Source organism: Homo sapiens, chromosome 2 (genome assembly GCF_000001405.40).
Source record: "Homo sapiens chromosome 2, GRCh38.p14 Primary Assembly".
Lineage (NCBI taxonomy): Eukaryota > Metazoa > Chordata > Mammalia > Primates > Hominidae > Homo > Homo sapiens.
The window spans coordinates 70,673,046-70,693,716 of NC_000002.12; the positions used below are offsets into that span (position 1 = coordinate 70,673,046).

At 46.6% G+C, this 20,671-nt stretch overlaps 1 protein-coding gene and 1 long non-coding RNA gene across 7 annotated transcripts in view, besides 1 other annotated feature; one reads left to right on the top strand and one right to left on the bottom strand.

Annotated features, from left to right (window-relative positions):
- ADD2 (adducin 2) overlaps positions 1 to 20,671 on the bottom strand; it is a 111,417-nt gene that overhangs the window by 16,262 nt on the left and 74,484 nt on the right. For 3 of the 6 annotated variants that reach the window (NM_001617.4, NM_001185054.2, XM_011532502.3), the window contains exons 7-14: positions 19,358 to 19,507; positions 17,741 to 17,884; positions 14,979 to 15,077; positions 10,546 to 10,722; positions 5,659 to 5,916; positions 4,713 to 4,832; positions 3,751 to 3,840; positions 1,633 to 1,780 (exon numbers count right to left, since the gene is read on the bottom strand). In NM_001617.4, the coding sequence (NP_001608.1) occupies positions 1,633 to 1,780; positions 3,751 to 3,840; positions 4,713 to 4,832; positions 5,659 to 5,916; positions 10,546 to 10,722; positions 14,979 to 15,077; positions 17,741 to 17,884; positions 19,358 to 19,507 (1,186 nt within the window). Of the gene's footprint in view, positions 1 to 195; positions 282 to 1,632; positions 1,781 to 2,045; positions 3,841 to 4,712; positions 4,833 to 5,658; positions 5,917 to 10,545; positions 10,723 to 14,978; positions 15,078 to 17,740; positions 17,885 to 19,357; positions 19,508 to 20,671 lie in introns of those variants that run through there. The other 3 variants (NM_001185055.2, NM_017482.4, NM_017488.4) reach the window with 2 other exon arrangements.
- Positions 210 to 7,657, top strand: LOC105374794 (uncharacterized). Its single transcript, XR_940230.3, has 3 exons — positions 210 to 334; positions 4,972 to 5,137; positions 6,428 to 7,657. It is a non-coding gene; the product is annotated as an uncharacterized LOC105374794 (long non-coding RNA).
- Positions 4,676 to 5,875: an enhancer, noted in NCBI's record as "CDK7 strongly-dependent group 2 enhancer chr2:70904853-70906052 (GRCh37/hg19 assembly coordinates)". NCBI's record gives its function as "activates an origin of replication core promoter dependent on BRD2, BRD4, P300/CBP, MED14 and CDK7 cofactors, with strong dependence on CDK7, by STARR-seq in HCT116 cells {active_cell/tissue: HCT116}" and the evidence as "EXISTENCE:reporter gene assay evidence [ECO:0000049][PMID:35650434]".

Genomic DNA, 20,671 nt, shown 5'->3' on the forward strand with positions numbered 1-20,671 from the left:
AGAGAAGAGATGGGCAGGGAAATAAAGCCTTTTAAAAATTACTTTTTTCTATTTGGTCATCAATCCTCCTGGCTGATAATGAGACTTCTAGCTGAAGTTAGCTCCTCCCCCTGACCTTCTTAGATTTCTGCTACTTCCCTGGGAAGGCCAATGGGAGAGGGTGGAGTCATGTTTCCTTCATCAAAACACACCTACCAATATGTTACTCCAGATGTGGAGGGCAACGCTGAAGAACTCGCACACGGCCGGACCAGAGCCTGGCTCTCGTTCCTGTCCTGTCTCTGAAGAGAACCAGCCAGGAGCTTTGTGTCGTGAGCACAGAGCACATCAACGGGTAAGAGGTGGACCCACAACCACCAACTCCCCTTATTTTATTTTTTGCTGACTCCCCTTAAAAACACCCATGATTTCTTTGCATGTAACTATTGTTTAATTCATCAAATTTACATTTTCTGTCCAAACAATCCCTAGGGATAAAAAGTGCCATGTTCCTCTATTTGCTTTTCAATTGGCACATTAGAGCTCCAAGCAAGCCAGCAAGGGTTTTTTGGTTTTTGCTGTTGTTGTTTGAGATGAAGTCTCCCTCTGTCACCCAGGCTGGAGTGCAGTGGTGTGACCTCAGCTCACTGTAACCTCCGCCTTCTGGGTTCAAGCAATTCTCCTGCCACAGCCTCCTGAGTATCTGAGATTTTTGGCGTGTACCACCATGCCTGGCTAATTTTTGTATTTTTAGTAGAGACGGGGTTTCACCATGTTGGCCAGACTGGTCTCGAACTGCTGACCTCAGGTGATCCACCAGCCTTGGCCTCCCAACGTGCTGGGATTACAGGCCATTCCTGGCCAGCAAGGGTTTTTTAAGTGTCTGCTTTGTGTCCAGGAAGGTGGCTGACTTGGGGTGAGGAATGGAGATGGTGGAAGAAGACCCTGCCTTGAGGGAGTGTCAGTCTAGCCCAGTGGACACAACCAAAAGCTGAATTATGTGTCTCAGACCCCAAGTGGTCAGGAAGCAAAGAGAAGGGACAGCTCAATTTGGGTGGAGTAGAGAGGGTGACAGGGAGGCCCTTCCTAGCTGGAGAGGGGTTTGAGAGGAAGCCGGGACTGATCAGGCTAGCCAAGAAGGGGAACCATGCCAGGAAGAGACAAAGGTAGGAACAAGGGCATACAAGCTACTGTGAGTGAATATTTGGGAGTCAACACAGAGAGATGGGCTTCACTCAAGAATCTGAAATAAAGGAGCGAGAAAAAGACACAAAGGTGTCAGCTGGTGGAGGGTTTTGATTGCCAGGCTAAAAGGCTTATAGTAGACCTGGTGGGAAATAATAATGATGACTATGATCATTATTATAGCTAAAATTGATCTGGTGTTTACTGGCCTAAGCCATATTTGTAGGCACTTCTCTAAGCACATTACAAGTATTAACTCCTTTATGCCCGGTAAGAGGGTCAAGTGAGGTCATGAAGGCACCGAGTAACTGTCAGGAACAGAGCAATGAAGGGCATTTTTGTGATTAATGGAACTACAGTAGAAATATTCTTTGATGATGGGGCAGGAAGGTCCTCTCTTGGTAGTCCTGAGCTCTCCCCTCCACCCTGGGGGACTTGGAAGCAAGGGTGTGCCTCAGGGTCATTTACCATCAAGTTCTAGTTTCTTCCTCTCCACCTCTTTCTTGTACTCCTCCAACTCCTGGTCAGTGAGTTGGCTGAAGGGGTTGGGCACCGTCTCCTCTGAATCGTCTTTGGTATCCTCGTCTCCCTTGGACATCAGCTGGCTCTCTGTAGACTGAAAGTTAACCACAGAGGGTGTGTCGCTCTCTGAACGCCGCAGTTGGGGTGCAGGCCCCAGCTTCCTTTTAGATTCATGTGGCTGCAAGCGGTCTTGCTAGGGACAGCGTGGCATGCAGCTCCTTGGAAACAGCTCAGGGCCTTGGGGTAGGGATTGTTCTTTCCTCCCCATTGCTACCTTACCCCTAGATTTTGCAACTGGCTGGATGAATATAGGGGGTCCACAGTCTGCCCCTGAAATAAAATCAAAGGATGCTCCCGAGCAGAAGGAAGACACACCTTTATTGCAATCCCTTCTATGGACACTTCCAAGCCATCACTATGCAAATACAGTTGGTGGCCCAAAGCCAGTCAGCCAAAGCCCAGCAAGCATAGCATTGGCTCAAGCAAGCTTCATGCCAGCCATTCCCCACCACTGCCCTCCCCGCCCCCACAGCAGTGCAAGCCACAACACACAGCATTAAGTTATATGCACAACACACAGCAGCTTCAGTGCTCTCAGTCCAAACTGTTAGTCCTGTTTCACACACAGTTGTAAGTGACAAAGGGGCCAAGGTTCCTGAGTCTCAGATCTTCAACCTGCCTGTACCGCAGGTCCCTGCAGGGATACTGGCAAAATCACTGGGTTTTGCCACCTCTGTGGAGCCCGTGGTTCTAGGGAGCTGACCAGCCGGCCCTTACATAAGCTTCAGGAATTCTTTGACCCCTCTAGCCCAAGATAGGAACTAAAATTCAGACTCCACAGCCTTTTTTCCTAATTCAGCATCCTCATCTTGGCCTTTGAGGATGCAGTGCTCTGAAGCTGAGGAGCAAAGAGAGTGAAGCCAAAGGGAGGTGAGCCTGGAGGCTGCCAGTCCTCCCTGCCCTGGCCCGCCAGGTCTTCTGCCCCTGGGCCCCTTCCAAAAGGGAGGCCACAGTAGGCCTAATGTAGGGAATCATGGAGTCAACCGAGAATCCAAGACCAAAAACCCAAGAAGAGGGACTCCGAGAAGAGCACTTGGTATAAATGGCAGGGGAGATTTTTGTTTGTTTTTTTAACAGTGTTGCTCATTGTAATGAACTCTCACCTCCCGCCAGAACATGGCTATTTCTATACTTGACCCTGCGGGATATTCAGTGTTCCCCATCTTGGCTGAGTTGGGGTTGGGGGGAGGTAAGTGTGATGATACAACTTTCACACTTCTCCTGCCAATGGGCACCCACCCTGTGGGCTGCAGTCTTGACCTGAAATCATTGCATCATCACAATTTGCCCTGCAGAGAGGAACATTTCCTGTATTTCCCCAATTTTTACTGCTAAGGAAAATGTCATGCCCATTGCTACCTTGCAAGGAGCAGCAGTGATTTCAAACACATGCCAGAATTCTGAACTTCACCCCTTTTGCTAAGCACTAGACAAAACACTGTTCTATCTCAAGCACAAAAACAATTACAATACTTTCTAACTCAATGTGGGTTTGTGTGGGTAATATTGTCCCTTCCCATCCTGTAGGAGCATGGGTCCTGTCTATATACCCCTTCTCTATGGGTACATGATCATCTTTCCAGAGCTCTGGTTGGATGATGTCATACCAGGCTCAGAGGTCAGAGACTCTCAGGGCTGGGCACACCTGGGGCACCTGGGAGTCTCCAGCCCCAAGCCTATGAGTCCCCACTTCACGGGGTAGTAAGGGAGGACAGAGTGGAGTTCCATGGCAGGAGGTACGGAAGCCGGCCGCATCACTCCTGCAGGCAGGCTGGGCTGCTGTTCTCCAGCCCAGTGCCCACAGGGGCCATCAGACATTGTCCTCCCTGGTCCTCACAGCACCCCTGTGAGGTTGGCCTCCATTTTGCAGCAAGAGCACCGGCACCCAAGATCACAGGGGAAGGTGGGTATGAGGACTCAGGGGTCCTGCAACCCAGCCCCAGGCACAGAAGACCCCGAAGGCAAACACGTTTCCCCGCCAGTCAGGGGCAGCCTCTGCTCTACCGGGCTTCGGCTCTTCTCGGCAATGACGCTCGCCAGGAGCTGGGACTGAGGCCCCGCTGACTTCACATCTTGTCGGTTTTGTTCTCGAATCTGTGTGGAAAGGGGAGAGGAAGAGTGAGCTGGCTGTTCAGGGTCAGCGTGGAGTTTGGGAGGGGGCATACGGGTGTGCCTGGGGTCTAGAAAGGTCCTCTAGCGGTGTGGGAGCCCGTCACCTATCCTAATGCAATCCTTGTACTTTAAGGGGGGGCCTCCAAGTCTGTTCCAGGGTGAATTAGCAATTTATGTAAAGCACCAGATTTTCATGAAACCAGAAGGAGCTGTAAACTATGAAAAGTAAAATGAGGCATAGTTGATCCTAAGAAGCCCCTGAGGAATTTGTTTTAAATACAGATTCTAGGCACCCCCCACCATTGAATCTGAATATCTGGGGAGAGGGGAGAGGGGAGAGGGAGGGAGGGTGGTAGAGGAGGGTGACCCAGGAATCTCAACTTTCAACAAGCGCTGTAGGGTATCCGGGTCCACACACTGCCACACTATCCTGTGAGCGATCTGATCTGTTAGAGGTGCCTGCTACAACTGCAGTTTTAAAGTAACATTAAAAATACACGCAAGTGAACTGTCAGGCAAAAGTCCGGAAACAAACACAGCAATCTTGAAATATTGCCAATAAGCCAAAAGGAAAATGGTATAAAATTTATTAAAACTCATTTTGTGGGCAGGACTTTCAGAGACAGCTGGTGTGTAAACCAAGCTGTGCTCTAGGTAAAGGGTTACGGGACCACAGGAGTACAGCGCTTAGCACAGCACCTGGGCCATGGTCAGTCAATGGTAGTTTCTCTCTCCTGTGAGGCATGTGAGATGTCAGCGAGTCAGGCACATCCTGGGAACTCAGCTCCTGTTTGTGGGACCTGAGACCCCCCAGTGTGGGAGAAGAAAGAGTGGGATAAACAGACCCCACTTACCTTGTTCCTCATCTCCAGTACTTCCTGGGGGTCAGTATAGAGAGGCACAAATTGGTTTGGGTTTTCGATGCGAATCGGCATGCCACTGCTGGATTTCTCCACCTCGTCAGCCTTCATCCACTGCACAAACACAAGGTCATGGGGCTGAGGTGAGGGAACAGGCCCATGAGTCCTCCCCAGTGGTCCACCCACGAGATCTGGGCCCAACATCCTGCATGGAAGGTCAGCAAGCCTACTCATAGACACTCTCTCTTCTTAGGCCTCTTTGATGTCTGTCTCCAGGAGCAGAGAATGGCAACAGATGACCCAGTTACCAATGAAGGCCCTCAGGCCAAAGGTCGGCTATAAAGAACATCCAAGAGTTGGGGTCAGAACCTTGGGAACCAGCTTTGATACACAGGCAACCACTTGGGCTTCAGTATTAGGTAACTTGATTTGAGTTTGGAGAGCTTCATATTGTTTTATGAAGAGCTATTCTATTTGGCTGTTGGCTACTTTTATGTTAATAAAAAATTGAGAGCCTGTGGGTGGGGACAGGGAGAGAAAATATAACTTCATAGAAGTGGCTGTACAGCCCACCTCCTGGGCTTGCATCAGATCTGAAGTCCCAATGTTAAATGCTCCTCCCTTGAATTTCCCAAGAGCCCCCTGTGGATGTGGGAGAAAGAAGCACAAACCAACTGGTTCTGGGTCATGTGCCTGGTCCAACTGCCCTCTGGAGAAATCTGCTCCTTAGACCCAAAAACTCAGGCAGAGGTGCAAGGAAGAAGTGGTCAGGGGCTCAGTGGGCCTGAGCAGCTGCTCCCAGAGGCCTAATAGGAAGCCCAAAGAGGATGCTACTAACCTGGGGCAGGAGAGGTTTGTTCTGTTCCCGTTTTAAAAATGCTTCACCCTGCTAATGCAGCCTGCCCCTCTCTGCCCGGGTCTGTCCTGGGCTCCCCCTTACCGTGGTCTTGGGTCGGGGGCTGCCCATGCTCCTCTGGACCTCATCGGCCACATTGACCCGCAGGTAGGTGTTGGGCGTATTGAGCCAGCGGGTCTTCTCCTTCTGCTGCTTCTGGGCATGCTGTCGCAGGGCGGGCACCGGGGCACCGTCCTCCTCAAACACGAAGGCTGTGACCGTGGCTGGAATCTCCACCTCACTTTTGTGTTTGGTTTTCTCTTGAACAAAGGGGTGGCGATACGTGTAACCTGTTCTGTAGCCCTATAAAGGACAAAAATAGAACCACTTATGGGGTGAGAAAAAAGGCCTGTACCTGCACATACATGCACACACACCTTTCCTTCCGTCTGCTTAAAGGACTCTTCATGTAAACCCAAATCTCCATTAAACAATCTAGGCTTTCCACTCTTCTGGTATATTTCAGAACTGTTCCCTCCTCCTGGTCCCCCATCCCCTCTCTTTCTCTACCCCAACAAGTCCTCTGATCAGGGCTGAGAAAATCCCTAGACCTTTGTGGACCAGATAGACAGAGCTCCTCATCCAAATGGAGCCACAGATTTCCTCTGGTCCAGTGGCTCCCAGCCCTGGCTGTACACTAGAATCACGGGGGGAGCTTCACACAAACACTGATGCCTGGGCCCTGATGCAGAGTTGCCCATTTAATCAGATCACAGTGTGGCCTGGGCTACAGGATCTTTAAAAGCTTCCCAGCTGATTTAACAGTCACCCCTCCCTTCCTTGACTGTGAAACTTCTTAACAATTTCCTTCTAGGAACCCTGAAATCAGACTCAAGAACATTCCTGTCTCCTAAGCAAGGCCACATCCCCTCAAAGCTGGAGCTGACTGCTTCTTGGAGAGAACAAACATTCTGGAATCTTGGCAGCTGTTGGAGCAATATTCAGCTCTCTTTGTCTTCTTTTATTTTTAAATTAAAATGACATTATTTTTCTGATTATAAAGGAAATACAGATCCATGTAGAAAAATTAAGCAAAATTAAAAAAAATAAGGAAAAAACGGAATTTTATGCAAACTCTCACCCCAGAGACAATCACTAAAAACCTTTCCAGTCATATCTCTATGCATATACATGTGTGTCCATATATGTTTGATACTAGTAAAATGGATATTTCCAATTACATATAATGGCTACTTAACTATTTTCCTTTGTAAATTGTTTATGTTCTCAGCCCATTTTTCTATTGATGTTTCTGTTTTTCACATTGATTTGTAAGCTCTTTGTAAATTAAGAATATTAATTTTTTCACTATCATAGATGGTGAAAATATTTCCCTCCATACTTTGTCTTTTACCTTGTTTATGGTGGGGGAGTGGCTTATAGAAATGCAAGTTTTGAATTGTTTAATATCATATCTATTAATATTTGTCAAGATTGCAGCCTTTTGTGCCGTGCTTGATAAGTCTTCCCTAACACAAGGGCATCAAAAACATAAGTCTATGTTTTTTAATACCCCTATGAGTTCACTTTTTATGTTTACCATTTTGACAAACCAGGAATTTATCTTGTTGAAATAAATGAAGTAGCATCTGCCTTAGCTTTCCTTCCCAGATGGCAAGTAGTCTATCTTTCCCTCACTGATTTATAAAGTGCCTGCTTTTCCTGTGTTAAATTCTCATATATTTTGGATCTATTTCTGGATTCTCTAAGCTGTTGCATTGTTTTGCACATCCATTCTGCTAGTGCCACGCCATTTAGTTGCCAAAGTTTTATCACACTTTGTCATGAGGTGGAATTAGTATTCCTAATTACTTTTCTTTTTATAACATTGCCCTAGCCATTCTGAATTTCACATGGAAGGATATTTTGTCAAGTCCTCATACCTTCCCCCATTTTTGAAAGAAATCCATTGACTTTATTGATTAATTTTGGGGAAGTAACCTCTTTACCCTATTGAAGCTTTCTAACCAAGAATAAATTATAGCTCTTCACTGACTTCAGGTTTTCTCTGATGTCTATTAATAAAGTTTTATGGTTTTAAAAACACGGATTATGCTTTTTAGTGTTTTATGATTGTGATCCATTTGCAAATAGGATTATTTTCTCCCATTATTATATTTTCAAAGTAGTTAAGATACAAAAACTACTGATTTTTGTATATATTTGCATAATTGTCCACCTTAAACTGAAATCACCTTTGCAAAATTATGACAGTACTCTATCTTGCTTCTAGCCTCACAAGCTGGCTGGCTTTGCTCATTCCTGGATGTGAGCCAAACTAACTTCAGGAGAAATTTAGTTTATAGTGTAAATGACGATAGCCCTTCCCAAAAACTAAACTATCCTTGTAAAACTGATGAAAGACCACCAAGTTAGGAAGAGGAAAGGGGCCTGAATTTTACTAAAATGTAGGCATAGTTAAATAATTACCAGCTATTATTCCAGAGGTCACACGATTTGCAACTTCCCCAATTACTCCTGTAAATAATATCACTATTATAGAACCTAAAATTGGCCTTTGGAGGTATCTTTTCAGGCTTTCACATTTCTGACAACTGGATGGCTCTGGGACTCAGTCAGTTCTGTGGCCCTACCCACAGGCAGACTCAGTGCACGAGGACCATATTCCACACTTCTATGATTGTATCCCCAACCAATCAGTATCACCCATACCTTAGCCCCCTACCCACCAAACTATCTTTGAATCTTCCTGGCACAGTGGCTCACACCTGTAATTTCAGCACCTTAGGAGGCTGAGACAGGTGAGTCACTTGAGCCCAAGTGTTTAAGACCAGGAATCTTTGAAAAACCCCCTTTGAAAAATCCCTAACCTCTGAGGCTTCAGTGAGATTGATTTGAGTCTGTCTCCTGCATGGCATGGCCAGCCTCGCATCAGTTAAACTCTCTCTTTACTGTAATGCCATGGTCTCTGTGAACTGAATTTGCTTGTGCAATGGGCAGGAAGAACCCGTCAGGTAGTTACAAAAGTATTCTCATTATTTTTAATATTTTTTCAGTTGTTTTTTTTTTGGACTTTATAGGCATGTAACCATATTATCTGTAAATAATAGTTTCCTTTCCTTTATAATATTTATACCTCTTATGCTTCATTGCCTTGGATTGAATTCCAATATTATTCTAGAATAATATTAAATAATAGTGCTATGACCAAGAATAATTGTTTTGTTTAAAAGTTTAATAGGTACATGCCACCATGCCTGGCCATGTTTTGTATTTTTTGTAGAGATAGGGTCTTGCTATGTTGCCCAGGCTGGTCTTGAACTCCTGGGCTCAAGCGATCCACCTCTGACTCAGACTCCCAAGGTGCTGAGATTACAGGTATGAGCCACCATACTGGACAGATCAAAAGTTTTTATCCTTTGATGCTTCAATATCATGAAATACATTTAAAAGATTTATAGATTGATATTATTAAGCCATCCCTGAATTCTAGGAATGAGCCACCAGTTATTGTATATTATTATTTTACTATTAGGCTTGATACTATTTGCTAGTTTTCATGTAGCATTTTTCATCAACGTTCAAAGAAAAATTGGTCTAAATATATTACAATTATTATGGCTTAGTATTCTTTTTTCACTCCTCTCAGAAAGAGTTTAAATAACAGAATTATCTGTGTCTTAAAGGTTGGAAAGAATTCTTGTATGAAACCATCTAGTCGCGGTGCTTTCTTTAGGCATAGATTACTCAGCATACAAATGTTAATGGGAGTTGCATTTTCACTGTGGATTGTACCTTTCATTATTATAAAGCGGCCCTCATGGTCAGCCTGGTAACAAAGTAGAGATGATTTGGAGGAACTGAAGACAGGGAGAAATGTATTAATTATTGCCATAACCTTGACATGATAAAGAAGGCCCAAGATGGTAGCAGTGAGGATGGGAAAAATGAATCAGATGGAATGTTATAAAGATAGATTTCATCTTTCACTTCTCTGAGCAATCTAAGAAGTTACAGCCTCTTATGCAATTAGCTCCTCATTGCATATGCTTTCCTCTTGTTCTTGAATTGTCACCTGTTTATATCTCATATTATCAGCTAAATTGTTAGCCCTCAGAAGAAGAAAGAATGTCTTAAAATTTTTTTTGTATCCTTTGAAGAGCCAGCCCACTCCTAGACACATACTAGTTTAATTCCTTACATGACTGATTGGTTCATTTATTCATTACAATAGGATATTGTTACAAAGGTGCTGCCTAGGATTAAGGAAATTAGTAGTATTATGTGTTTTCTGTATTAAAGTCATGAAATGGACAGAAAGACAGAACTAACTATATAAGAGGTATGAGCAAAGCCCCAGTATAAGATAGGCTCTGTGTCCCAGTTTTTACTGGAGTATGACCTTTTTTTTTTTTTTTTTTGAGACAGAGTCTCACTCTGTCACCCAGACTAGAGTGCAGTGGCACAATGTCGGCTCACTGCAACCTCCGCCTCCCAGTTCAATTCTCCTGCCTCAGCCTCAGCCTCCTGAGTAGCTGGGACTACAGGTATGTGCCACCATGCCCAGCTAATTTTTTGTATTTTTTTTTAGTAGAGACAGTGTTTCACTGCATTAGCCAGGATGGTCTCAATCTCCTGACCTTGTGATCTGCCTGCCTCGGCCTCCCAGAGTGCTGGGATTAAAGGTGTGAGCCACTGCGCCCGGCCTGGACTACGACTTTTCATAGAGGACACTGCAGATATGAGAACATCCACAGCACTTAGTTGTGGGTGGCAAAGTCCACAGTTTACAAAAATTCAACTACTGTTAGAATAACCACACATTCTAAATCAAATTTCCCATCAATGAGGCTTCAACAACCTAGTTGTGATGCTGGCAATTCTTGTGCCCACCTGATGCCTTGTACTTCCTGGTTCCAGGGGGCTAAGCCTCAATGGACTGGCCTGGAAGGGCAATGGCAGGAGACTCACCAGGTTGTCCAGCATCCTCATGAGGGCCTCAAACTCATGCTCCCCCAGCCGACTCTTCTGCATAGGCCCAAAGGTGCTCCCGGCCCACTGCACGGAGCCCACCTCATGGGGCCGGTGCTTCTCCTGCTCCAGGAGGATGAGGTTCTCCACTCCCCCGGCACTGGACAGAGCCGACACCTGTAGCAAAGAGCAGAGAGCCCTCAGCCCATGTGCACATGGGTACCCTGCACTTATCTATGCTCCTGTATGTGATGAGAGAATGGGGAGTCCAGAGGAGAACTTAGAGGCCAAACTGAGAAAGAGCCACCCATACTTGATGGGCATGCCCCCATTTCCAAGAAAAGAGCTATTAGTTTATTTTCTGATGCCAGTTCTTAGAGATTATAAAGAAGGAAACAGCAAGCATTAAACCTTAAGAATCAAAACAGAGGACTGAAAGTTACCTGGGATACAGACTAACCTAGAATTGTGATTGTATCTGGGGAGGGAGGGAAGATGAGACAGGAAAGGACTTCAAAGCGGACTTCAGTTCTTGTTTGTAATATTTTGTTCTTCAAGATTTGAAGCCAGAGGTTATGAATATGTTTGATCTGATTGGTAGGTATGGGTGTCTATTATGTTAGTCTCTGCACTTTTCTGTATGTTTGAAATATCTCCTATTTTTTTTTATTTTTATTTTGAGACAGTGTCTCTGTTGCCCAGGCTGGAGGGCAGTGGCACAATCTCGGATCACTGCAGCCTTAACCTCCCAGGCTTCAGCTATCCTCCCACCTCAGCCTCCTGAGTAGCTGGGACTACAGATGTGCACTACCACATTCAGCAAATTTTTGTATTTTTTGTAGAGATGGGAGTCCTGCCATGTTGGCCAGGCTGGTCTCGAACCCCTGGGCTCAAGCAATCTACCTGCCTTGGCCTCCCAATGTGCTGGGATTACAGGCATGAACCACCATTGCTGACCTCTCCTATATTTTTTTAAAAGTCACTTGAAAGAAATAGGCTGGCTCCCAAGCCAATGAAATTTATTTGTAACCTCATGGGATGAATTCACAGGTCCAAAGGAAAAATACATTCTCCACAATGGGGTTAGTCAGTCAAGGAAGCCCAGAGAAAGGAGACAGATAAAATGCTTGTAGTGTACAGCCAAGCACTGTGCAGGGGTGAGAGTTCCCACACATGGACTTAGAGTGTCTGTCTCATTGTCAAGGCTCCATGGGGAGGGCAATGCAGGTGGTTGTAGGCAATGGACTCTGAGTATTAGGACAAGAGGTGTGTGTATATAGCAGGCAATTTTGGAATGATCCTAAAAAACACTCATTAATCTAACAAATCCCCTTTTTTTTAAATTCTGTGCTTATCTAATGGTACATTCTATTTACCCTCATGTATCTACCACTCAGATATAATTGGTTAGGGTTTGGCTTCCTGGATGACAAATCTAGCTACATAAAGAGACAATGGCTTATGAATAGTCCAGGTGGTGAGCCAGGTGTTCTGCACTGCACATTATTATATTAGCATTCCAATAAGATATGATATCCCATGTTAGCCTGCTTGTTATGGGAAACTGCTTTAATTATGCAAACTTTCAGTATTTTTGTGACAGTTATTTTTTACTGGAAATGAAAAAATCCAATTTAACCTGCTGACAAATGCAGGTCTATGAACCCAAGAGGATCAGGGACAGACCTTAGAGTATGTTAAATTCATCATTTAACAAATGCCCCTGTGATACTTCTCTGAGGTCAGCCAGGCAGCCCTCCCAGGTGACCCCCGTCACCCTATGAAGAGAAGGAAGCAAGAATATTATCTACGCCCTTCTCGTCCAAGCCATGTGTCTAGCAGAAGATAAACAGACTTCTCCCACTGCCCCTCACAGTCCTGGTGAGGCAGCGCTTCTCCAGGTAGTGTTTAAGGGCACAGACCTGGGCACCAGGCTGCCCAGGTTTGAATCCTGGCTCTGCCACTTACCAACTGTGTGACTTTTAGTAGCTATTTACCATCTGTGTACCTCAGTTTCCTCTAAAATGAAAATAGCAGAACCTACCTTGTGAGAAGTCTTTAAGGTAATAGATCTAAAGCACTTAGTGTATCACCTGGTACATATGGGGTGAAGTATAATGTTCTAATGAATGAATTTTGAGAAGCGCTATTCCCTGGGGACCCATACTTAATGGAGAAGAAGAGAGGGAGAGACTGCCCACAACCTTGCAAGAGCTGCCTCCTCCCACCTCCCTCTTCCTCCCCCAGTTTCCATGGTGATGGGTAGCAGATGGAGAAGAACTGCTTGAGCTTCTTCCCATCTGCCTGTCGGCAGAGCAGGGAGCTGCCTCTCTCAGCAGGGGATGACCCAGTTTCCTGGAACCCCAAATTGATGGGGATCAGAGAGAACACCATCCCCAGGAGAAATAAATAGGCTCTCAGCCTTGAACTACTAACATGACCACAGCCACGTTCGCTTGTTTGCCAAGGTCACCAAGGAAGAAAACTTGGCCCACAATGGAAACAGAGCTTCAGTGCTGGCCGCTTCACCCAAAAATGACCTGGCTAGGGCTGCGCTCCCAGCGGCACCTGCAGTCACTGTTACCTAGGCTCTTTCATGCCCTGATCCACCCACACCTCCTCTAGGCTTTCCTGCTTTTTTCTTCCACATCTTCCAGCTCTATTCCCGTCTCTAGAAGCCTCTCTGCTCTACCAGCTGGGGGAAAAAAAGGTCACTGGAGCTTGCCCGGGGTTATCTGTCTGCATTGCCTGAGGTCCTGTAACAAGGTCTCAGCAAACCAATCCTGAAACGAAAGTGATAGCAGCTGAGGGAAGGGGGCTGTCAGGTACAGAAGCCCACAGCTCTGCCCTTGAAACTGCCCAGAAACTGTTTCTGGGGTTCTGGATCCTGGGAGAGGCATACTTCACCATGTGGGGTGGTGCGACACATGGGCATCCCTCTCCCTTCATTTTTAGGGCTGAGCTGTCTTTGCAGAGATGATGTTTTTACAGGAGATATTTTCTTATTGAAGAATCTTCTCCAGAAGGAAGATAGGGAGCTCTTAAGAGTTCAGATGTGGGAAAGGGAGAGTAGCTTCCCGGTATCCCAGAGGCTCCACCAGATTCTTCCACCAGTCAGTGGTCAGAGCTTAGGGCCAGAATCTTTGGTTGGGCAGCAGCCGGAGGCGCTACATCACATCAGAAAGGCACCAGCTGGGTCTGTGTCCACCTGCCCCTGTTCTGACCACTGCCTCTAATACTTCATCATTATCTTCACAGCTATCCTCACCACATATCCTTTTAAAACGATTGAAAAGGTCCCACTGCAGAGCCTCCACCAGCGACACTTCCAGGCAGATCTCAATCTCCCCAGAGTGCCTCCAAGAGAAAGACCTCTTCCTCTGGGTGCTGCTCTGCCTAGGCCAGCCAGGAGAGGGCGGACGGGACACCAAGGGGCTGGGCAAAGAGCTGACTCATCCAGGAGCAACGGGCCTCCATATGTCAGTTGAGTCCTAAAAATAGCATCAGCAACACCCCTCTTTGTGTCCTCACAGTGACCCGCTGGGCCCCACGTCTACAGTTGAGGAGACAGAGGCTCAAGCAGGGCAAGTCCTCTACCCAAGGGCACACAGCCCAGAGTGGGGAGGATGGAGCCTGGTCAGCCTGGTCTGGTTAATAAGGTCTTTTCAGGGTTGTGCAAGGCCCCCTACCTGCCCCTGACCAACTTGCCACATTGAAAAGTGTGTGCTTGGCTTATCCAACACCACCTTGTTGTCTATACAACTACAGGTTTGTCTGTTTTCCTACTGCTTCTCCAACTCCTCTAGGGGGTTCCCTGATCACTGACACTACTGTCTTCTCCATCCCTTCCCGGTTAGGGATTTCATGATGGCTTCCTGGATATCACTTGGGGTTGCTCTGGCTGTTAAGGCTGCCACGTCAACACTCTGATTGGTCTGCTTTCCGCTTCTTTTTCTGGACGTGACCATGTCCCTGGCCTTTGCAAACCAACCCCCTCCCCTCAAAACAAACAAACAAACAAACAAACAAACAAACAAACAAACACCTACCTGTGTGTCTGTTGGGCATAGGTGCAACAGGTATACCCCACGTAACATATGAGCATGGTAAAAAATTTCTTTGCCTTATTACAATTTCTCCCACTGTCCAGTTGATGAGCCCAGGCAGCTCCCCAGACTGGGCACTGACCCCTAAGAAGTGGGTATTTATTGCTTGTTAGACAATGTTGATGCATTTTTCAAAGCCACAGAACTAATCCTAAGTGTGAAACTTTAGAAGGATAAGATGGTGCCAAGGCAGAGAAATAGGGCAAGGCTTTTAGATGGCTGGGATCAAAAGACTCCCTGAATCACAGCCAACAGGGTCACCACGTTTGCCCACAGGCCCCTGTCAGAGCCCACTCCTGGGCCCACTTTCCAGGAGAATTTGCTCACCTGTATCTCACATGCAGCCTGCAGGTGGAAGATCTTGTAAAATGCCTCCTCTACCGTGTCACCCAGAGCAACCACTCCATGGTTTCTTAGCACCAGGATCTGTAGAGAAATAAATAGTCAATTAAAACCTTAAGTCCTCTAAACTTTAGTTAAGAGGGAGAGGTTTTCCATTTTATTTAGATCAACTTCCACAACCAATCCCAGGGCCCCTTCTCCCAACTCCTTATGTTCTCTAATCAAATACCCCAAAGCTACCCCACATGGGATTTTAACTCAAAGCATCTACCCTAAGAAATTGAAAAGACATTTTAAAACTGGGACTAAATAGCTTGATCAATTTCTTTAGGCAACGCCTGGGTTTTTATGCATTTTAAAAATTGAAATTGAAAAGGCATTTTAAAACTGAGACTAAATAGCTTGGTCAATTTCTTTAGGCAATGCCTGGGTTTTTAGGCCTTGGAAAGCTTAGAAGCTTGAAAAACTGCTGTGTATATTAAAGTGAATGAAGTTGTTTGCTATCCAATACAGAGTTCCCACCTCAATAGCAATCTCTTGCTCCTGTGACTTAGTTGACGTGGGAGTCAAAACCCAGGGGGCGGCTCTCTGAGAGGTGGCCCTACAGAAACAGGTGAGTCACGTCACCTCTTTGGGTCTTAGGTTTCTGCACCATAAACTCAACAAGGCCCTGTCAGCTCTGAGATCTCACAGCTCTAGAAAGAGGCCACAGTGACCTTCTCATCTAACTCATCGGTTTTATAGAAAAGAAAATAAAAGCCTGAAAAGACTAAAAGTCTCAGCCGTGGTGGGTCACGCCTGTAATCCCAGCACTTTGGGAGGCTAAGGTGGGCAGATCACTTGAGGTCAGGAGTTCGAGACCAGCCTGGCCAACATGGTGAAACCCCGTCTCTACTAAAAATACAAAAATTAAAAAATTAGCTGGGTGTGATGGGGCCTGCCTGTAGTCCCAGCTACTCGGGAGGGTGAGGTGGGAGGATCACTTGAACCTGGGGGCTGCAGTGAGCTGAGATCGCACCATTGTACCCCAGTCGGTGACAGAGCAAGACTCCGTCTCAAAAAAAAACCAAAAACGGAAAGTCTCTCAGCTAATTAGGGGAAGCATCTGAACTAGAAGCCAGGGGTTCTCACTATTAGTGCAATGTTTTAGACTCAGTCAGGGAAAGCTGAGTAAAAGTGGGGGAACCCAAACTGAATTTGTACCAAGAGCACAACTCCCCAAAGTTCAACTGCATCTTCCCTCTGAAACTTTTCTTCGTTGGTTTTACTCTCAAGAACTCTCTGGAACCAGATGACACCAGCCTGGGAGCTGGGACACAGATCCATGTGTCAGATCTGTCTCCAGGCAGAGCCTGGGCTGAAGCCTGATGGCTCTAAACATCACATCCTCTCCTGTTGAAAACAGCTGGTATTTTTTCCTCTCAAGTGCCAGAGAAACAGAAAGAGACGATGGCTGTGGCCCACAAAAAGTACTACAAACAATGAATACCCCATCTCTCAAATTCTTGTAGCACTTCGTAGATGTGAATATTTCATCCCTCTCCCCACACTCTAAATAATGTTCTGGAGGATGTCAGGAGAGAGAGGTGGGATACCTCACTGTGTTAGAGATGAGAAGACAGGGACTCATGGGAAATGATTCAGGCAGTGCATTCCTTGCCAGGACAGCGGCAAAGCATCCATCAACCAAGACTAGCCTCCGTGGCTGTGCCATACTGAGCTAACCATCCCCAAATATGTGCTGTTATAAAACAGGGCTCAAGAGTTCAGTCAAGCAACAACAAGATTCCATTTTTCTCTTGCAAGCTAGTGGAAAAATAAAGGCGACAACACTCAAGTTTGGGGAGACTGCAGGGAAGTGGCACTCTCATATCCTAGACATGGGGTGGAAGAGTGAACAAACCGTGTGGGGCAATTTGGCGGCATGAAGTGAGAGTTCTAGCCCGTGCAGCCCTAGGAACTTATCCTAAGAAACTCATCTCAAGTTCACACAAAGATTTAGCTGACAGGATTTTCATCAATGTGTTGTTTTTATTAAGAAAAAACTCAGGAAGAAAAAAAAAATTTTTTTTTTTTGAGACAGGGTCTAACTCTGTTGCCCAGGCTGGAGTATAGCAATGTGATCACAGCTCACTGCAGCCTTCACCTTCTGGAGTCAATCGATCCTCCCACCTCAGCCTCCTGAGTAGCTGGGACCACAGGTGCATACCACCAAGCTTCACTAATTTTTGTATTTTTTGTAGAGACAGGGTTTGGCCATGTTGCCCAGGCTGGTCTTGAACTCCTGGGCTCAAGTGCTCCACCCACCTTGGCCTCCCAAAGTGTTGGGATTACGGGCATGAGCCCTGCACCCAGCTGAAAAATACCTTTTAATGTTCAACCACAGAAGAGTATTCAGGTAAATTATAGCACAACTATTCCCATAATGAAGTCTGTGAATAGTTGTGCTATAATTTAATTAAATTTAATAATTAAAAATGGTGATAGAGAAAATATTTAATAACATACAAAGGTAATTACTATATATTGCTGAGGGAAAACAACTTATTTTATGATCCTAGTTTTGCAAATATAAATTTCAATATATTTGGGGTACACAGCAAAATCTCAGGGTAGTGGGATAGAGATCTTTCTTTTTTTTCCCCCCTCTCTCCCTCCCTTATTGTCCAATGAACATATGTCACTTTTGTGATGTTGGCTTTTGACAATGCCACTCTAGATTATTGTCCCAGAAGAGCTAAGCTAACCTTGCAGGTGGGTCCAAGGCACTTCTGCAGGTTGATCCGATCGGCTTCCTGCTCCATTTCCCCATTGAAGTCATAATAGGCCATGTCCCCCACCAGCAGGGCATTGTGGGAGACAGGCAGGAGGCCCCACTTCATGGCCGACACCTTAGAGAGACAATGGCATGGTTAGCACCTGCAGCCCTCCCTGCCCTTTCCTCAGAGCAGCACAGTCCAGCTCTACTCTGGGGGCCAGTGAGGGGTGAGGGGTGAGGAGTGAGGGGTGAGGTTGGGGAGCAGGCACAAGAAAGGCCTGGGCTCCTCTACCACCTGGCTTGGGCGTTGTGTCACGCTGCTTGCTCTAGTGTCTTTCCATCACTGTTTTCACAGCAGCCATGTCAACATATCACCTTTTAGAACTGCTAGAAAGAATGCACTCCAGAGACCTATTGCTGCCCCTCCCACTCCCCCCACCTCACACACAGCTTTGCTCTTGTCATACAACTCTGGGAAGAGGCAGGCTGTGGTGGAGTTTGTACGAGGCTAGGGTAAGCAGAGTCCAGATCTCTTGGGGTAGGCTGGAGACCCTCAGCTTTGGTTTCAGTGCAGACTAGGTCACAATTTTTAACAAACAGAGAGGCCCATTGAAAAGTCCCATTTTAAAATGAATGAAATTATTTGCTGCCCAGTATAAAGGTCCCACTTCAAAAGCAATCTCTTGCCCCTGGAACTAGGACAATACAAGTGCTGGGGACCAGGGTTGAAACACATTCCCCCACCACTTATTAAAAGTAAGCTGCTCATGGTGGACAGAGTGTGCAATAATTTATTTATTTTTTTTTTTAGCAAGGAGCATGGAGAGGTTTAGAAGAACCCTTGCCCTCCTTCATTCATTCTGCCCTGACTCAGCCCTGAGCTCTGCAAAGATGCATGCTCAGCACAAATACATCTTCACATCTTAGTCCAAATTCTGGAAAGTCTGAATGCTCACAACCAGTGTGTTTTGCTGAGAAAACGGGCTGATGACAAGTCAGCCTACTCTGTCCCTGTACATGTGTGGCCTGGGGGTCAGCAGGATAGGGTAGGGTTCGGGGGGAGTACCCAGAACTGGTTGTCTGCCTGCCGTCTTTCCAAGTGACATCGCAGTGTCTTAGGTACACATGGAGAAATGATCAGAGGGGGACAACCTGCTCATTGAGTCTCTTCTTTGTATTCTTTCCCAGTTTTGCTTGCTCCGTCCCCTACTCTCAGCCTACCCTGAGCTATGGGAAAACGGGCACAGTCCAGGTTCCCACTAACTGGTTGTCCTCTGTCAAGATATCTCCTTGCCAGAGCCTGGCTTCGTGGGGGCAGGCCCCACGCCTTGGTCCAACAGGACTGACCTGAGTAGAAACTTAGCAGGTACTGCTTGTGTATGCAGTATGTGGGGGATGCGATGGAACAGACATTCCATGTCTTCACGTTATGCTATGACTTCAGTAGTCAGAAAGATGGAGAGGCTGGGCGTTTCCACGTTGGGAGTTCTCTCGCTTCACCTTGGCCTGAGTTCTAGATCTTTCCAGACTGTTTTAAGTGACGAGATTGCTACAACCTCGGCAGCCTTACGTCTTTCCTTGGGTGGCTGAGAAGGAGTCCACTCACCGCTGCTGTGGCCGGTGTGTGCAGGTGGATGATGCAGCGCACGTCGGGCCTCGCTGCATAGATGGCCGAGTGCAGACAGAAGCCTGTGGTGTCCACTGGGAAGCAGCTGCTGCCCTTCTCCACCACCTCTCCCAGAATGTTCACCTTGATCTGCGCCAGGGAAGAAGAGAGACTTATGGCAACAGGGTGGCCGAGGCCCCGCACTCCTCTCCCAGCTGGTGGGCCCAGCATGTGCCGCCCACCTGTCTTCACACATTCCAGACACCATGAGCAATGACGGACTTGGTGTTGGAAGAAAACAAACCAGTTCCTGCCCTCAGTGAGTGCACAGTCTAACGGGACACAGACGATTATAATTCAGCAGGAGAAATGCGAGAGCAGAGTTTCTCAGACTTTGTTCACGTGAATCACCTGAAGCCCAGTCAAATGCAGGTTCTGATTCAGAGGCTGAGGGGGCCCTGAGAGCCTGCATTTCTAACAAGTTCTCAAGTGATCCACAGACCACACATGGGGTAGCAAAGTGCTAGAAAAGAGTCATGCACAGAATTCTCTAGACAGAGACAGGGGGAGTCTTTCATCCCATCAGAAAAGGAGCATCTGAGAGGCCTTCCAGGGGGAGTAATGTCTACACTGAGCCCTTTCTCAACGAGGCTCAAAGAGGCTGCGGCTGCTTTACCAGTGACAGCTCTAGCCTCACTCCGTGCCCCTACTCCCCTGCCTCCTGGATAAAAAGTAGTAAAATATTCAATCACAGAATGTCCTGTGTCCTGAAAGCCCACAATCCAAGGTAAACAGAACTCTCTCTCAAATCACTCAGCACAAATCCAAATCCTGAAGCCAGCCCCTCCCAGTACGCTCTCACTGAACACCTCCCCGATTTCCCGGAGTGCAATCTCCCGGCAGCTGGAAGTTAACCTAACTTCACTGACTGCAGTTGTTCCCTGGACATTAACAAGCCAGATGATAGTCTCTAAAACTCATGACAACTTTAGCCCTTAAAACTGAGACACCCGTGACATCCTGAATGTGGCACACAGGGCAGTTCCTCAACTTGCCCATCACCCCCACCCCAGAAAGTCCAGGCAGACAAGATGGGTATCAAAGCAGGGAGACAGACTCTAATGTGGGCGGAGGGATGTGCTGCTGGCGTTTGCTTACACAGAAGCATCAGGAAGATGTTCAACAAATCTCCACTTACAATATCCTATTTTAAGTGAATTTCACAGACTTCAAAGCAGCGTGACCCCTAAAAGCTGCAGCAACTCTCCCGCCTCAGGTACTTTAAACCCAAGTGTGGAGTGCTGCCCTCTGGTT